Here is a 16,178-nt window from a genome sequence, read left to right as displayed (position 1 = left end):
TGTTTTTGTATTTGGGAAGGATTCAAAGTTGAAGGTTTATTGTCGTTGGGTTTTTCAGATGGTGACATGTAAACTCAGGATAGCAAACCCTAATGTTCACACAGTGCTCTGCCTCTGCATCTCAGTTGGGATAGTTGCTCCTTTTGAGTGTTTTAATCATCGTATAACTAATCATAGTGCCAAGAAGTTCATAATGTGTTATGTAGCTAATGTCACTGAAAAACAGTCCTACCATTTTAGGTAAGACCAAACAGAGTCTCTAACCCAAGGACTTGTTACACCTGACAACCTATAGTATATTTGCTTTTTCTCACAAAATGAAACCAATTTTGCCGAAAGCTAGCTGGGATAATAGGATCATCACAAGTTGCAGTTTCTATAACTAAAATTAGATTGAAATCTCTTCTGACCTAGAACATTTTACTTCAGGCATTCAGCAGATTTCAGAAAGAATTACCTTATTTTAAGTTAGTTTCTTTGTTAGTTTACTGTGTGTCTCTTATTCAATAAACAAGCAGAATTTGTGTCCTGCCCTATCCATGTCTTAAAGATGAGAAGTTGGATCCACTGAGTTAGTTTCATTGGGGCGGGGGAAAGAACTGTAATTAAACTTGTTTAATCCTTATTTTGTATTGTAGCTATTTTTTGTAAAAGCAACTTAAAATCTTTTAAAAATTTTATAGTGACATTAGAGACAATGGTCATACAAATTATCACATAAACATGGACTTGAAAAATTAGGCTTTTCATAAAACACATCACATGTCATTGACTGCTTTTTAGAAATACACTTCCAAGGCAGTACATCTGTATTGCTACTGAAAAGTGCCATTTCACAGAACACAGACTTCTTTTTGCTCTTTGACATCTTGAAAACATCTGTTTTTCTTTTTTAATACAAAACTTTGTGCTCAAGACAAATCTTACATGAAACTCTCATAAACCATGAAAATGTAGCTGGCCTTCGGGCCTTAGGCATGAAATAAGCATGAGGAACATATTCCCCTAACTTCTACCCCCAGCCCAGCAAGTTATCCTTTAAGAAATCTCCTAGGAATTCTGGAGTTTGAAAACAATTGCTCTATGTTATTCCTGCTTCCAGTCTCTAAGTAACAAGGGCATTTAAAAGCATAGTCTCTTAAGGTCCACTATAGTGGTTCTTTATTTAAGGAATAACTCAGCTGGGTGCAGTGGCTCACGCCTGTTATCCCAGCACTTTGAGAGGCTGAGGCAAGCAGATCACTTGAGGCCAGGAGTTCGAGAGTCTGGCCAACATGGTGGAAACCCATCTCTACAAAAAATACAAAAATTAGCCAGGTGTGGTGGCGTGCACCTATGGTCCCAGCTATTTGGGAGGCTGAGGCAGGAGAATTGCTTGAACCTGGGAGGTGGAGGTTGCAGTGAGCCAAGATTGTGCCGCTGCACTCCAGCCTGGGTGACAGAGTGAGACTCTGTCTCAAAAAAAAAAAAAAAAGGAACTCATACAGCTCAATGATTCATTGATCCCAATAATAAATCGTTTTAATAATGATGAAAACATCCTACTGGGGTTTTCTTGTTAAAAACTTTAGGACAGGCGCAGTGGCTCATGCCTGTTATTCCAACACATTTGGGAGGCTGAGGTGGGAGAATTGCTTGACCCTAGGAGTTCTAGACTTGCCTGGGCCACATAGTAAGACCCTGTCCCAGCTCCCTCCAACATCGTCCCCAACCCCCCCCCCCCCAAAAAAAAAAAGCGCCAGGCGCAGTAGTGAGTGCCTGTGATCCCAGCTGTGTTGGGAGGCTGAGGTGGGAGTATCACCTGAGCCCTGGAGGTTGAGGCTGCAATGAGAGCTGTGATCATGCCACTGCACTCCAGCCTGGGCAACAGATGAGACCCTGTGTCACAACAAGGAATTTTTAGAAGGTGCTTTTTATATTACTCTTCACAGAGTTAAATTTTCAGAGGATTTAGTATTATTGAACTAAGTTTCATAAGTGTATTTTAAGCAAGTAAATCTCTAATGTAGGAAAATCCCCAAAATGGTAGCATTTACTAATGTTTTATATGGTAATTTTTGAAAAATATATCTGATATTTCTTCAGTAAAAATGGTGTTGTTTTAATAACTTAATAAGAATGTTTAAAGATTCTTTAAGTCTGGCTTATCTAGCTAATGTGGGCCTATTAAATAATAGGCAGACTTCTGCCTTCCTTATATTCTTTAGATCTTTTCAAATACTCCATTCCAATATCCATCAAAAGACTTCTCTTTATGCCACTTATTATCTATACTAGTTTTTAATGTTCAATTACTACAAGATTATAATTACTGTTTTTATTCATGTTCCCAAGAAAAATACATAAGATTCACACCCAACACACTTCGAAATTTATTTCACTCCCTTTGACTATATGTGATTATCAAAAAAGTATTTTTCAAGATATTAAAAATAAGTAAAGGAAAATGAAATATTTTTAGGACATTCAAAATCTAATGAAGTTCAGTGTTTCTTTAATTGAGGGCAGGCAGAGGTGGGGGAGAATTTCAGAAGGTAGTGAACCCAAAGGTGGATTCTTGGATAATTCTACTATTCTGTACTCTCATCATCTTAACCCATCTGTTTACTACCCTAACCATAGTTACTAAGCAGAGTTTTATCATAATAATATAGACAGCTCTCAAAGTATTGACATTCAGAGGGGATTACAAATATTATTTTTCTATCATATTGACCTACCATGTCCACAGTCTTCCTTGAATTACCTTCCAGTTTTACTGGGCTGCATCTACCGTTTATGTCTAGTTTGACTTTTTCTGAGTTCACCAATTGCTGCTAGGAATGTGCTGGTCACTCAGCAGCACACCCACATCACAGGGGAAGATTTTGAAATACCTGGACAGTCTGAACACACTGCTCTGAATACACTCAATTCTAAGAAGTACCAGGGAACCGCATCTTCTTGCTGAAATCTTGAATTTTTGTCAGCTTTTTTTTTTACTGTGGACAGTAAAGCTGGAAAGATCTAAATAACCCAACAGGAAATGCGGATGAAAGTGCAAGAGTTGGTTTGTGGTCATCTGGAGTCCATGTCTCCAAGACTGCTGGACCTTCAAATTCTGCAACTTGTTAGATCATCTGGATGATAGCACAACTGTTAGAAGACCTAGAAGAATACAGCGTTGCTATGACTCAGTGGTGTTGAATGCAGACCATCTACCAGCTGGGGAAAGAATCAATTATAAACAGGTATTTTAAAACTCCAGAACGTCAGAAATGTGTAGCAGAATGAATTCTGTTATAAGGAAGACAAAACAATTCAGTCTGTTTTTTAATGCAGTTTAGGAATAGTGTATACCTCCTATACTTAAAATTGTCATTTATCTTTCCCAACTTTAAATACTCTTTTAGTTTCTATAGGGAAGGAAGAGTTATTACAGGTTTTTTTTTTTTAATTATTCTTTAACTTTAGATACTGCCAATCTGATTTAAAATTCTCCAAGCTTAATTCTGTGCAACAAACAGAACCACACAAGCAGCCAGGCACTGTGGCTCACTCCTATAATCCCAGCATTTTTGAGGCTAGATGGGAAGATCACTTGATCTCAGGATTTTGAGAACCATCCGGACAACATAGGGAGACCTCATCGCTATTTTAAATAATTTTAAAAAGAAAAGAAAAAAAAAGGCCGGGTGCGGTGGCTCGCTTCTGTAATCCCAGCACTTTGGGAGGCTGAGGCGGGCAGATCGTGAGGTCAGGAGATTGAGACCATCCTGGCTGACACAGTGAAACCCTGTCTTTACTAAAAATACAAAAAAGTAGCTGGGGCCGGGCGCGGTGGCTCATGCCTGTAATCCCAGCAGTTTGGGAGGCCGAGGCGGGCGGATCACAAGGTCAGGATATCCAGACCATCTTGGCTAACATGGTGAAACCCCGTCTGTACTAAAAATACAAAAAATTAGCCGGGCGTGGTGGCGGGCGCCTATAGTCCCAGCTACTTGGGAGGCTGAGGCAGGAGAATGGCGTGAACCCAGGAGGCGGAGCTTGCAGTGAGCCAAGATCGCGCCACTGCACTCCAGCCTGGGCGACAGAGCAAGACTCCATCTCAAAAAAAAAAAAAAAAAAAATTAGCTGGGCGTAGTGGCGGGTGCCTGTAGTCCCAGCTACTTGAGAGGCTGAGGCAGGAGAATGGCGTGAACCCAGGAGACGGAGCTTGTAGTGGGCGGAGATCGCGCCATTGTACTCCAGCCTGGGTGACAGAGCGAGACTCCGTCTCAAAAAAAAAAAAAAAAAAAGAAAAAAAGAAAAAAAACCCCACAACCATGTTATAGGAAAAGTTAGTATAAATGACATAGCATAATTAATATATTCAAAATAACTTTTAAAAAGTTGTCTTGTAGCTTGAAGGGATCCTAAATATCAAAAGCCCATCACAAACTTACAAGCCTTACTGCTACGTAAATATCCCTTTGAACTAGTTTCTGGTTCTATTTAAAAAGTCGAAAACTGTTGAAATTAATTTACGAATAAGAACAGATACACACTTTGTGGGGAGGCTGAGGTGGTAGGATCTCCTGAGCCCAGGAGTTTTAAGTCCAGCCTGGGCAACATAACAGCAAGACCCCATCTCAAAAAAAAAAAAGCATATCTTTTGTTTATTTTTTTAATAGACAAAGTCTCACTATGTTGCCCAGGTTTATTTGGAACTCCTGGCTTTAAGTGATCTTCCTGCCTCAGCCTCCCAAAGTGTTAGCATTATAGATGTGAGCCACCTCGTCTGGGCCAGAGCATACATTTTAGATTTCAGATTGGGTGGCGGGCAGGGATAGAATATCCTTGTTAGTTATATAAAAATAAACTTTTTTTTGCTTTTTGCAGATTTGAAATTTAATTAAGCTATTAACTTCTTAATCATCACATCCTCCAACTCTGTTTTAACTCCCCCCTCCCCCTCCCCTTTTTTTTTAAGGAATAAAGGGATTCATTCCTCATTTTAACTGATGTTACAGTGAAGATGGGTTCTTGAACTCTTGGAAGCCTGGATGAGCCACCTAATCTGCAAGATAAAAACCAAAGACCAATGCGTATTGGGGAAAAGAATGCTTAGTACTGCAAGACTGTTGAATACCTGTTGAATATTCCTATTGAGGTTTTTTCCTAAACATACTTCAGTAACATCTTAGGACAATTCACTGGAGAAATGTTGATCCCTGGCTGGAATGTCATACCATTGACCCATTTGAAGAGTTAAAGCTGGATTTGACTGCTCTATTCTACCAGGAATATTGTTAGGGTAGCCTTTTACCAGTTTCTAAACAATTGTAATCATTTATTGACTCAGCAATTCCTCAGATAACAGGTCAAAAGATGTACAGATACATTCTGAAGTTTTCTTGCTATTAAAGGCACAAGAGTTTCCTTGTATTTTGACTGACAATGTAGCATGTTTCCATTTTAGTTTGTTAGTGATGGTGGTTTTCCCTTTGAAAGCCATTTGGTATATTCACCATAACAATTAGTTTAATATGATTACATAAGAAAACTATGATAAAACCCAGCAATTTTAGTAGTTGTGAAAATACGTTTTTTAAATCATGTTTAAGAAGAATTGCAAGACTTGAAACCAAATCCTGATGGGGGAATTCTGTTTAATCCTGTTTAATCTGTTTAATTTCTGTTTAATCCTTAGTTTCTTAACCTGCATAGCTTATCCTGTATTGTACTTTTTTTCTTTTTTAAACTCCCAAACAAGAAGCTTGAAACTTTTCCTGTATTTTAAAATTGAAATTTGGTCACAGGGTATAGTCAGATTTTTATTAAGGTTTGGTTTGACAACCTTTAAAAGAAAGGTTTACCTCGCTAATACTTCTTAATAACATGCATCAAATGATATTCCCTATGGTGAAGTATATTCTCAAAGTTATGTTATCTTTCATTTTTGGCATTTGGTGCTTATGGACTTAGTACCCAGGCAACAAAGATCTATTATGCACCTACTCTCTTGTATGTTCGCTATTATTTCCCAAAAAAAAAAAGGGGCATATATGCATAAGAAATAAATATTAGAATTATTTTGTTTCTCCCACAAAGCCCATGGGAGATGGCCCAACAAATGTTTAAAAAGTAAAAGAAGCTGGGCACGGTGGCTCCCACCTGTAACCCCCACACTTTGGGAGGCCATGGCGGGTGGATCACGAGGTCAGGAGTTTGAGACCAGCCTGGCCAACACAGTGAAACTGTGTCTCTACTATAAATACAAAAATTAGCCAGGCATGGTGGCAGGCACCTATAGTCCCAGCTACTCAGGAGGCTGAGGCAGGAGAATCGCTTGAACCCAGGAGGCAGAGGTTGCGGTGAGCCAAGATCATGCCACTGCCCTCCAGCCTGGGTGACAGAGCGAGACTGTCTCCAAAAAAAAAGAAAAAAGAACTAAAAGAAAAGGAGCAGTTTATGATTGAAGAAAACATGACCTGGGCTGAAGAAGTGAGGATTGATTGGAGTGGGCTAGAATGAGCTATAGTTTCTAGCTCATTTGTAAGGAGGTAGACAAAGGAGCATTGGTGCCTCAGAGTGGGTGTCTGGTGAGAGGAAAAACGGTGCTTAAGAGATTTTCAGGCTATTGCTGTGGGACAGGCATATTTTCTCCCTTTGCCTTTAGCTGTAGATAAAGTGTGGTTATGACCTGAGGCTTCTTGTATTCAAACTTGGCCTAGGGCCTATGTAGAGGCCCTAGGGTCTACTTGTGGTGGAGGAGGGAAGTATTTGTAGAATGTGTAGGCTTGAGAAGTAAATAAAGCCAAAAAAGCATCACTTGCTTACATTTTTAAATGAGTCACAAAACAATCTTTCTAATGCGGCCGGTAAAGAAGTTTTAAAGGTCTAAGGTTTCTCTACAGAAATTACATGCTTCTCAGGTCTTTGTTTAGTAAAATAATACAGATAATTATGCTTTGAATGCATTTATTATTAAAGCTAACCGTTTTAATTTGTGTCAGAAATAATTTGTGCCTATGGTAGGATTAAAATTGTATTCTTTAGTTAAAGCAAAGCAATCTGTTTTTCATTGATTTGATAAATATGTGAATGCCTAATATGTTCTGCATATGTAAAAATGCAGAAACATGCTCATTTGAATTACTAATAATTATTTTAGTATGCTGAGAGGCTTTGAATTCACTGTACCACTCCTTCCTAGAGTCATTCAAAACAGAAAAAATTAGTTTTAAGTATAGATTCATGTTTTTCTGTTTTAAAAAGTTGAGCTAATACTTTTCACAAGAGACGAAATAACATGAGCCACTATAATTATTGGCTCAGTTCCACCCAATTTCCATATTTTGGGTGTAATTTAAAATTTTTGACTTGGAATTTTAACTTTTTTTTTGTTTTGATTTTTTACCAGGTTTCTAAGCATGAATTGAGGAACAGAAGAAGCAGAGCAGATGATCGGAGCAGCATTTGTTTCTCCCCAAATCTAGAAATTTTAGTTCATATGTACACTAGCCAGTGGTTGTGGACAACCATTTACTTGGTGTAAAGAACTTAATTTCAGTATAAACTGACTCTGGGCAGCATTGGTGATGCTGTATCCTGAGTTGTAGCCTCTGTAATTGTGAATATTAACTGAGATAGTGAAACATGGTGTCCGGTTTTCTATTGCATTTTTTCAAGTGGAAAAGTTAACTAAATGGTTGACACACAAAAATTGGTGGAGAAATTGTGCATATGCCAATTTTTTGTTAAAACCTTTTGTTTTGAACTATACTGCTTTGAGATCTCATTTCAGAAGAACGGCATGAACAGTCTTCAGCCACAGTTGTGATGGTTGTTAAATGCTCACAATTGTGCATTCTTAGGGTTTTTCCATCCCTGGGGTTTGCAAGTTGTTCACTTAAAACATTCTTAAAATGGTTGGCTTCTTGTCTGCAAGCCAGCTGATATGGTAGCAACCAAAGATTCCAGTGTTTGAGCATATGAAAGACTCTGCCTGCTTAATTGTGCTAGAAATAACAGCATCTAAAGTGAAGACTTAAGAAAAACTTAGTGACTACTAGATTATCCTTAGGACTCTGCATTAACTCTATAATGTTCTTGGTATTAAAAAAAAAGCATATTTGTCACAGAAATTTAGTTAACATCTTACAACTGAACATGTATGTATGTTGCTTAGATAAATGTAATCACTGTAAACATCTATATGATCTGGGATTTTGTTTTTATTTTGAAATGGGAGCTTTTTTGTTTACAAGTTCATTAAAAACTAAAAACTGTTTCTGTAAGGAAATGAGATTTTTTTTAAACAACAAAAAATGCCTTGCTGACTCACTATTAAATAAAAATCTCCCCAATTTTTTGATAGACTACTTCAAGCCATTTGTTACATGGTATTCCTTTGCAAGTCAATTTAGGTTTCGTGTTATAACTTTTCCTCTTTTTTTAAGAAAAATGAAAAAAGTAATTCTTTTGTCTGAAGGGGAAAGGCATTCTTTCATTTTTTTCTTTTTTTTTTTTTTTTTTTATGACTTGCAGGCACAATATCTAGTACTGCAACTGCCAGAACTTGGTATTGTAGCTGCTGCCCGCTGACTAGCAGCTGGACTGATTTTGAATAAAAATGAAAGCATTAAAGGGTTTCCCTACAAAACATTTTTCTTTAAAATACTTTTGAAATGGCTATAAGCAGTTGACTTTCACCCTTGGAGAGCATCACACTGTGTGAGGTTCAGTGATTGTTGACCCTCCCCAGCCCCTCCTGCTTCTTTAAGTTATCTGTGTGCGTGCGCTTCCTCTCAATCTTCTTTGCACGCTCATTTCTTTTTCTCTGACCCATGAGAAAGGAAAACTTACTGATGATAATTTTTAAATAGTGTAATTTATTCATTTATAGCATGTCAGGATAAATTAAAAGAACATTTGTCTGGAAATGCTGCCGGGAGCCTATTGTGTAAATGTAGGTATTTTGTAAAATAACCTTGAAATTGTAAATTGACACGTGTTTGGTCAGATTGTGTCAAGTTTAATTTGTTTTGTTTTCTTTTTTCTTTTTTTTATTTGAAAACTACTTTAGCAATAATTAATTCCATGATTATCACATTCTGCCATTAAGGGATATTAGTACCGTAATACTGAAGAAATTTTATTAAGTCTGAACTTCTGGGGTAGGCAGCTTCTTTGTTTCTTTTCTATCCACCCTTGTCGGTTGAGGTATTTGTTTCTTGACTAATAAACCCTTTGATACTTTTAGCCAGAAATCAGTCTCATAAAGCTATTTTTGAGTATAGTTTGTGTAAAATAAAAATGTTTAGCTTTGGTAATAACTTCCAAGCTGAACTCCCTCTAGCAAGATATTTTTCAGTGCTTTTATTTACTATGCACTTAGACTATGCACTTTTTCTGAAATATTTTTGTAACACTTTTTTGTATTTTTGCCATTTGAAAAGGTTGTGGTGTAGTTGGTCTGTAATTAAGTTGCAGATTTAAAACTGCTGTTAGCTTTGTAAATCAAAATATAGGTGTTTTTTGTCCTGGTATATCGTCATTCCATCTGCAGCTGGAGCTGGAATCCCATTGATCTTCTAGCTACCATTCATTTTCTTCACTGTTCACAAAAGAAGAGTGTGAAATTCAGTGAATGCTGTTACTAATCCTGTTACGAGATGAATCTCATTTCACCAAAATTAAATTATGTTTTTCCGCTAAAATGATGATACAAGTTGAAGACACATCACTCTGAAATTGGAAGACCTCACCACTTAAGGCTCCACAGTGGCTTACTCAGCTGAACTCTAGGTTACTACTCTTTACTTTGTTCACCCATTGGGGGGTGCAGTTTTTTTAAAATGTTGGGAGATGGCCATTCTAACTACTGTTGAATGTCTCTGTTTTGGGAAGGTATAACAAGAAATAAAAAAGAATATATATGAAGGGAGAGACTGGTTATCTCCTCCCATATGGTTGTGCTTATCCTCTTATGGCTTACAAATGAATATTTGGAGGTTTGCTTTCACAATGATTTCCCATCAACAAATATTTTTAGTAGGATTTTTCCTGTTTCTGTTAGTCCTTGCAGTACTCATAAATGTTTTAAGCTGAGCATACTGTAATAGTCATAAGTTTAATTTCATTATAATAAAAATAATCAAACAAAAGGACTTTAGAACCCAAGACAATGAGCTAGTTTTCCCTAAAGTTTGCTGAACTATTAAGGAATATGTTCTTATAGCTTTTGACTAGAATGAGTCATGGGAATTCTAAGAAGGGATGGCCTAGACATTTTTAGCTCAGTTAAATTCAGCATTTAATGCAGGTGAGTTCCTGGGTCGTTTTCCAACTAGTCTGGAACAGTCTGGTTCTGACTCAAACTGGTATAAAGCATTATTTTAGGTTTTCTCTTTGCCAGTTTTTAAGCAGTTATAACCATGTAAATCAAGATGTGAGGACATCTATATGAAGTATAGTAAAGAAGTGGTGTCAGCAGATCAATATGTGTGTCCTGGGTGTGCTGCTCTCTTAAGTGAGACTTTGTGAGACTATACTTTAAATGCATTATTACCATTGCTTACATTTTGGGGGATTTTCTTCCTCCTCAAAACTTCCATTTCTATTGTAATATTCTTAATGACAATCTTTTTTTTTTTTTAGCAGTGTATGTTTGAAACAGCCAAAGATGGCGATGAACCAAGTGTAAATTGATCTAAGCAGCCCATGCAGTTTGTGTTGAATCAACAAACAGTGTATTGTTGAAGTGAAATTATTTTCTGAAATGACTTGTTAGACCAGTTTTGAGGACATACTCAAAAGTAGAGTAATAATGGCTCCTGGGATGGAGAAATATGAGATGAACCTGGAACATTCTATTATGGTGCCACAAAGGAAATCTAAAAAAAAAAAAAAAAAAAAAAGTGGTTGGCTAGGAGCAGTGGCACACGCCTGTGATTCCAGCACTTTGGGAGGCCGAAGTGGGCAGGAGTTCAAGACCAGCCTGGCCAACATAGTGAAACCCTGTCTCTACTAAAAATACAAAAATTAGCCGGGTGTGGTGGCGGGCGCCTGTAATCCCAGCTTTTCAAGAGGCTGAGGCAGAAGAATCGCTTGAACCCGGGAGATGGAGGTTGCAGTGAGCTGAGATCGTGCCACTGCACTCCAGCCTGGGCGTTGCAGTGAGACTCCGTCTCAACAACAACAAAAAGGTGGATACATGTCAAAAGGGCACAGGAGCCACTTGAAGGATTATACTTGCTAAATCTGTGTCAATTATCAAAATAAACTGGTAGCAACGTTACAACTCACTGAATAAGATACCATGATTCCATGTTGACTTAAAAATGGAGAGAAGAGAAAGCTCTAACTTGAATGTCAGCTAATTTAAGGTGAAAGGATTTTATGTGTTAGAAAAATCACCATTTTGCAAACTAGTTTTCAGAATCCTTAATATATGTCATCTCTTTTATTCCTCATAACAGTAATAAGAAACAGTTAACTGTTTCAGAAAAGAGTGGGGCTGCCCAAGGCAAGGCATGTTGGTAATTGGTAAGCTTTATAGAGCCAAGACCTCAACCTGATTTTCTTGCTTTCATGCAGTTAAGCCATGGTGCTCCTCTTGTTATATCACCCTTTTAAACCCAGAGATTGATAGTATTAGCCATCATTTGCTGAGTGTCATGCACTATTCTAAGTGCTTTACATGTATTTGCCTAATCAGCGCCCTGTGAAGTACATCCTGTCTCCATTTTGCATATAAGGATACCAAAGCACAGAGTTGGAGGGAAGATAGTTATATTCCCTTACTTTATTTATTTATTTTTTTGAGACAGGGTCTCGCACTGTCGCCCAGGCTTGAGTGCTATAAGACCTTAAGTTTCCCCTTTCAAAGTAGTTTATAGTGTCTAAATATCTTACATAAAAGTATATATCAAATAGGGTGGCAGTCTGGAAAGATTTAAAATCCAGAATGACTGGAAGGTTGGGCAACTAAGATTTCTTAAATTGCAGCTGTTTTCAACATAGATGTGTTGTAGAGTCTTTTCGGTTTCAAAATTAAATTGACTATAAATGGAGTGTGCTTAATTCAGATCTAAAAATTTTGGAATTAGAATATTGGGTGCTTGGCTGAGTGCTGTGGCTCACGCCTGTAATTCCAGCACATTGGTAAGCCCAGGTGGGCGGATCACTTGAGGTCAGGAGTTTGAGACCAGCCTGGTTAACATGGTGAAACCCCATCTCTGCTAAAAATGCAAAATTAGCCGGGCATGGTAGTGCACGCCTGTAGTCCCAGCTACTTGGGAGGCTGAGGCAGAATTACTTGAACCCAGGAGGCAAAGGCTACAGTGAGCCGAGACTGAGCCACTGCACTCCAGCCTAGGCGACAGAGCGAGACTCTGTCTCAAAAAAAAAAAAAAAAAAAAAAGTATTGTGTGCTTATATTGCCTCCCTTACCCCCTCAAACTTGGGCAGGGCAGAGCCCATCTATAATAAGCAAATGGATAGTTTCTGCATCTGTCGTCAACTTTACACAAACAAACATTTTTATTCTTGGAGCATTTTTGAACTAAGATCTAGGCACTTTAAAAGACAAAGGCAATGAGTAGCTTCCCTGTATCGACACCCAGTAAGTTAAAAAGCAGTCTTACAGAGCCTTAAGTAAAATGTTTGGAGTAACTTGGTTCTTTCTTTGTAGCATTTTCTAATTTACTATTTGACATATATCTGATTAGAGAATATAGATGTACTTAATTGTTTAGGGTGTTAAAGAAAATAGGAGTGACAGTAATAAAACAAGATGTGTCCACTGGTATAACAGTGGGATAAGGATATCTTTGAAGTGCTTAGAAATATGTTAATCTCAGTAGATTGCAGAGTATTTTTTTTAGTATTTTTTAATTTACATGAAAATCTGGGAAATTTTAATAGTAATTTTCCAGTCTAGTCATGAATTTTTCATTACATCCACCAGATGGAAACTGATTCTGCCATATGCAAAAGGCTGCTATGTGATAGTGCTGGGGATTGGGGTGGCAGGGGGATGTGAACAGGCAGAATGGAGTAAGGGCCTTTAGTGAAAGTATGAGGGAATGACTTTAAGAGGCAGGACAGTACTTTGTGTATGTTTTGAAAGTAATTGTGGGCCTGGTATGGTGGCTCAGGTCTGTAAATCCCAGCACTTTGGGAGGCTGAGGCAGGTGGATCACGATCATGAGGTCAGGAGCTCAAGACCAGCCTTACCAACATGGTGAAACCCCATCTCTACTAAAAAAAATACATATATATATATATACACACACACACACACACACAAATTAGCTGGGCGTGGTGGCACGCACCTGTAATTCCAGCTACTTAGGAGGCTGAGGCAGGAGAGTCTTGAACCCAGGAGGCAAGAGGTTGCAGTGAGCCACTGCACTCCAGCCTAGGCGACAGAGCGAGACTGTCTCAAAAAAAGAAGTAATTGTGTGTGTCCTACAAGGCTGCGCTGGTGTCTTGATCCTTTGGCCTTCAAATAGCAAAGGTTTGCCATTCCTTAGGAGTCATTAAACTCCCTTCACCCCTCATCTATTCACTAAAATATAGGAGCACTCCACAAAATATGCAGGTCCAGGAGAGAAAGGGGCAAATGATCAGGCTTTTTACTAATTTATCCACTGACATGTTTGGTCATTTTGTGGCTCATTAGTAGAATCCATATTTAGAGCCAAATGCTAGAGCTCATTTTCTTTTGTCTTTTCGACACCAGTTAATGAATATGAAGCCCAAAAAGATGTGCAGATGTGGTCAAGCTCCCCAAGCAAGACTAGAACCCAGGCCAAATAGTACTACTCATATTTAGAGGTAATATATGTTTTCTAGTGGCACATTTATGCCAGAGCAGTTTTTTAATATAATGCATTTATTAGCCAACCCTTACCTAGTTATCATCAATACTTCATCAGTGTGTTGATGATAGCAAAAAAAAAAAAAAAAAAAAAAAAAGGCCAGTCTTGTTGCTTCATGGTCTTATTAAAAATTGACTTTTTTCTAAAAATCACCTTAAAACTTGACTAAAATTGTATTTGGATTTAAGATACATTATATCTACAAGAGTGGAATGCATTAATTAGATTTGCAGTCTGCTACATAAAACCAAACTTGACCAAGTTATTTTTGCTTGAAGTTGTGAATATTTTTACACTTTTAGAGCATTTCCGTGTACCTAAGTTTATATAGATTGTTCTAATATACCAGTGTATTCATTGACAGGGTGTTCTTTCTCATAGTTCTGTAGTACTTTTATAGCCTGTCATTTATGGAACAGAATGTCTTAGGTAAAAAAAATGTAGCCTTTTCTCATCATCACCATATTAAGTCTTCAATGCTGCTAATTCAGAGAAGCAAAATAGTTTGAATAACTGTTGGAAACAATTCCCGTGGATTTCAGGCAGCCTGCCATTGGCTCTGTATGCCAATGGACAGCGGCACACATCTTGGTGATAAAATGCTGCATTAGATATTTAGGATCAGAAGAAAGGGTGGAGGTGGATATTTTTAGAAACTGCTTTTAACGGTTGCTAAGTAAATATTTTTTATTGCAAAACTGGTTTGCACCGTGCTAACGTATGTAACTCCGTTAACAGCATAATGTTTTAATCTCCGTTTAGACAGTAAAACCAATTTTTTTTTGTTTTTTGTGCCAAAAGAAGTGAAACTAAATATTTGAGATAGTTTTTAAAATCATTGACCATCCTGTACCCTGCAAAATTGTGAAGCATACATTACTGAGTTTTCTATAATGGCATGCATGATTTTTTTTAGCCTATGACAAAGTGCAATTCCTATACAAACAGTAATAGGAATTGAGTTTTTAAATGCCAGGCACTGTGCTAGTCCCTGGGAATTCAGGGGTGACAATTCAAATGGACCTATATGCAACATAGGGTGTTACAGATACAGTACTCATGGGGCAGATGGAGACCAGAGAAAATAATCTATGAATTGCATCTGAAAGGATGAGTAGGGCGGGCGCGGTGCCTCACGCCTGTAGTAATCCCAGCACTTTGGGAGGCCGAGGCGGACGGATCACCTGAGGTCGGGAGTTTGAAACCAGCCTGACCAAACATGGAGAAACCCTGTCTCTACTAAAATTACAAAATTAGCTGGGCGTGGTGGCGCATGACTAATTCCAGCTACTCAAGAGGCTGAGGCAAGAGAATCTCTTGAACTCAGGAGGTGGAGGTTGCGGTGAGCCAAGATGGCACCATTGCACTCCAGCCTGGGCAACAAGAGGGAAACTCCGTCTCAAAAAAAAAAAAAAGGTTGAGTAAGGTTTCGGCAGACGGTGAAGACTCCTCGTCTTGGAGGAATGGTAGCAAAACACACCCACATGAATGATTTCAGCCAACAGAGAGCACCCATTCCTTAGCACAGAGCCAAATGAGTGGCATAGAAAGTGTCGAAGGTTCACGTGGGTTCGATAATGAGAATGCCCTCAGTCACAAACATTTTAACCAAAAGTTGAAATAATGAAGTATATAGGGTAAGAAATGTTCAATCCAGCCGTGACCCTATCCAATGACAGTTTTATTGGTCTGCAAATCCTTGCAATGCCACCAAGGAGGAGATTGAACAAAAGTGAGATCATAAATGATACTAAATGTTAGGGACAGAAGATGATAAGTAAAAACATTCAAGCAGCAAGCATAAACCCAACTTTTGGGAAATGTGGGGGGAAATAAGATGGTTTTTAGGGCAGGTAGCAGCCCTGAGAGTATAATTTTTTTTTTTTTTTTTTGAGACAAAGGCTGGATCTTGGCTCACTGCAATCTCCACCTCCGGGTTCAAGCGATTCTCGTGCCTCAGCCTCCCGAGTAGCCGGGATTCCAGGCACGCACCACCACAGCCGGCTAATTTTTTTGTATTTTTAGGGAAGACAGGGTTTTGCCGTGTTGCCCAGGCTGGTCTCAAACTCCTGTGCTCAGCCAATCCGCCCACCTTGGCCTCCCAAAGTGCTGGGATTACAGGTGTGAGCCACTGCACCCGGCCTCAATTTTCTGATCAGTGGTAGGGAGTCAGAAAACAAGTTCTTCATGCCATCACACCAAGTCTAACCCTCTAAAAAGTCTTGTTCCTCATGCTAACAGTTGCTTCAATAACAACCTCATAAATTGGTGGTAAAGACTCACTGGTTTCCATTACATATTGAAAGTTTGGATTCTAAGGCTGATAAT

The 16,178-nt window shown here is 38.4% G+C and overlaps 1 protein-coding gene and 1 non-coding gene across 6 annotated transcripts in view, besides 1 other annotated feature; both read left to right on the top strand.

Moving 5' to 3' along the window:
- The window catches only part of CSNK1A1 (casein kinase 1 alpha 1), a 58,458-nt gene extending 47,195 nt beyond the window's left edge, over positions 1–11,263 (top strand). For all 4 annotated transcript variants that reach the window (NM_001271741.2, NM_001892.6, NM_001025105.3 and 1 more), the window contains one exon: positions 7,385–11,263. In NM_001271741.2, coding sequence (NP_001258670.1) covers positions 7,385–7,392 — 8 coding nt within the window. In that variant the 3' untranslated portion in view covers positions 7,393–11,263. The remainder of the gene's footprint in view (positions 1–7,384) is intronic.
- Positions 4,785–5,331: an enhancer, noted in NCBI's record as "NANOG hESC enhancer chr5:148878477-148879023 (GRCh37/hg19 assembly coordinates)". NCBI's record gives its function as "activates a minimal SCP1, AML or CMV promoter by ChIP-STARR-seq in naive H9 embryonic stem cells {active_cell/tissue: H9 hESC(naive)}" and the evidence as "EXISTENCE:reporter gene assay evidence [ECO:0000049][PMID:30033119]".
- LOC124901105 (uncharacterized) lies at positions 8,068–11,263 on the top strand. Of its 2 annotated transcripts, none has more exons than XR_007058992.1 (2): positions 8,068–9,771; positions 10,627–11,263. It is a non-coding gene; the product is annotated as an uncharacterized LOC124901105 (transcript). The 2 variants fall into 2 exon arrangements; XR_007058991.1 differs by having other exon boundaries at positions 10,624–11,263.
- Positions 11,264–16,178: the final 4,915 nt, after the last annotated feature.

Source organism: Homo sapiens, chromosome 5 (genome assembly GCF_000001405.40).
Source record: "Homo sapiens chromosome 5, GRCh38.p14 Primary Assembly".
NCBI lineage: Eukaryota > Metazoa > Chordata > Mammalia > Primates > Hominidae > Homo > Homo sapiens.
This window is presented reverse-complemented; position numbering and strand designations above follow the sequence as displayed.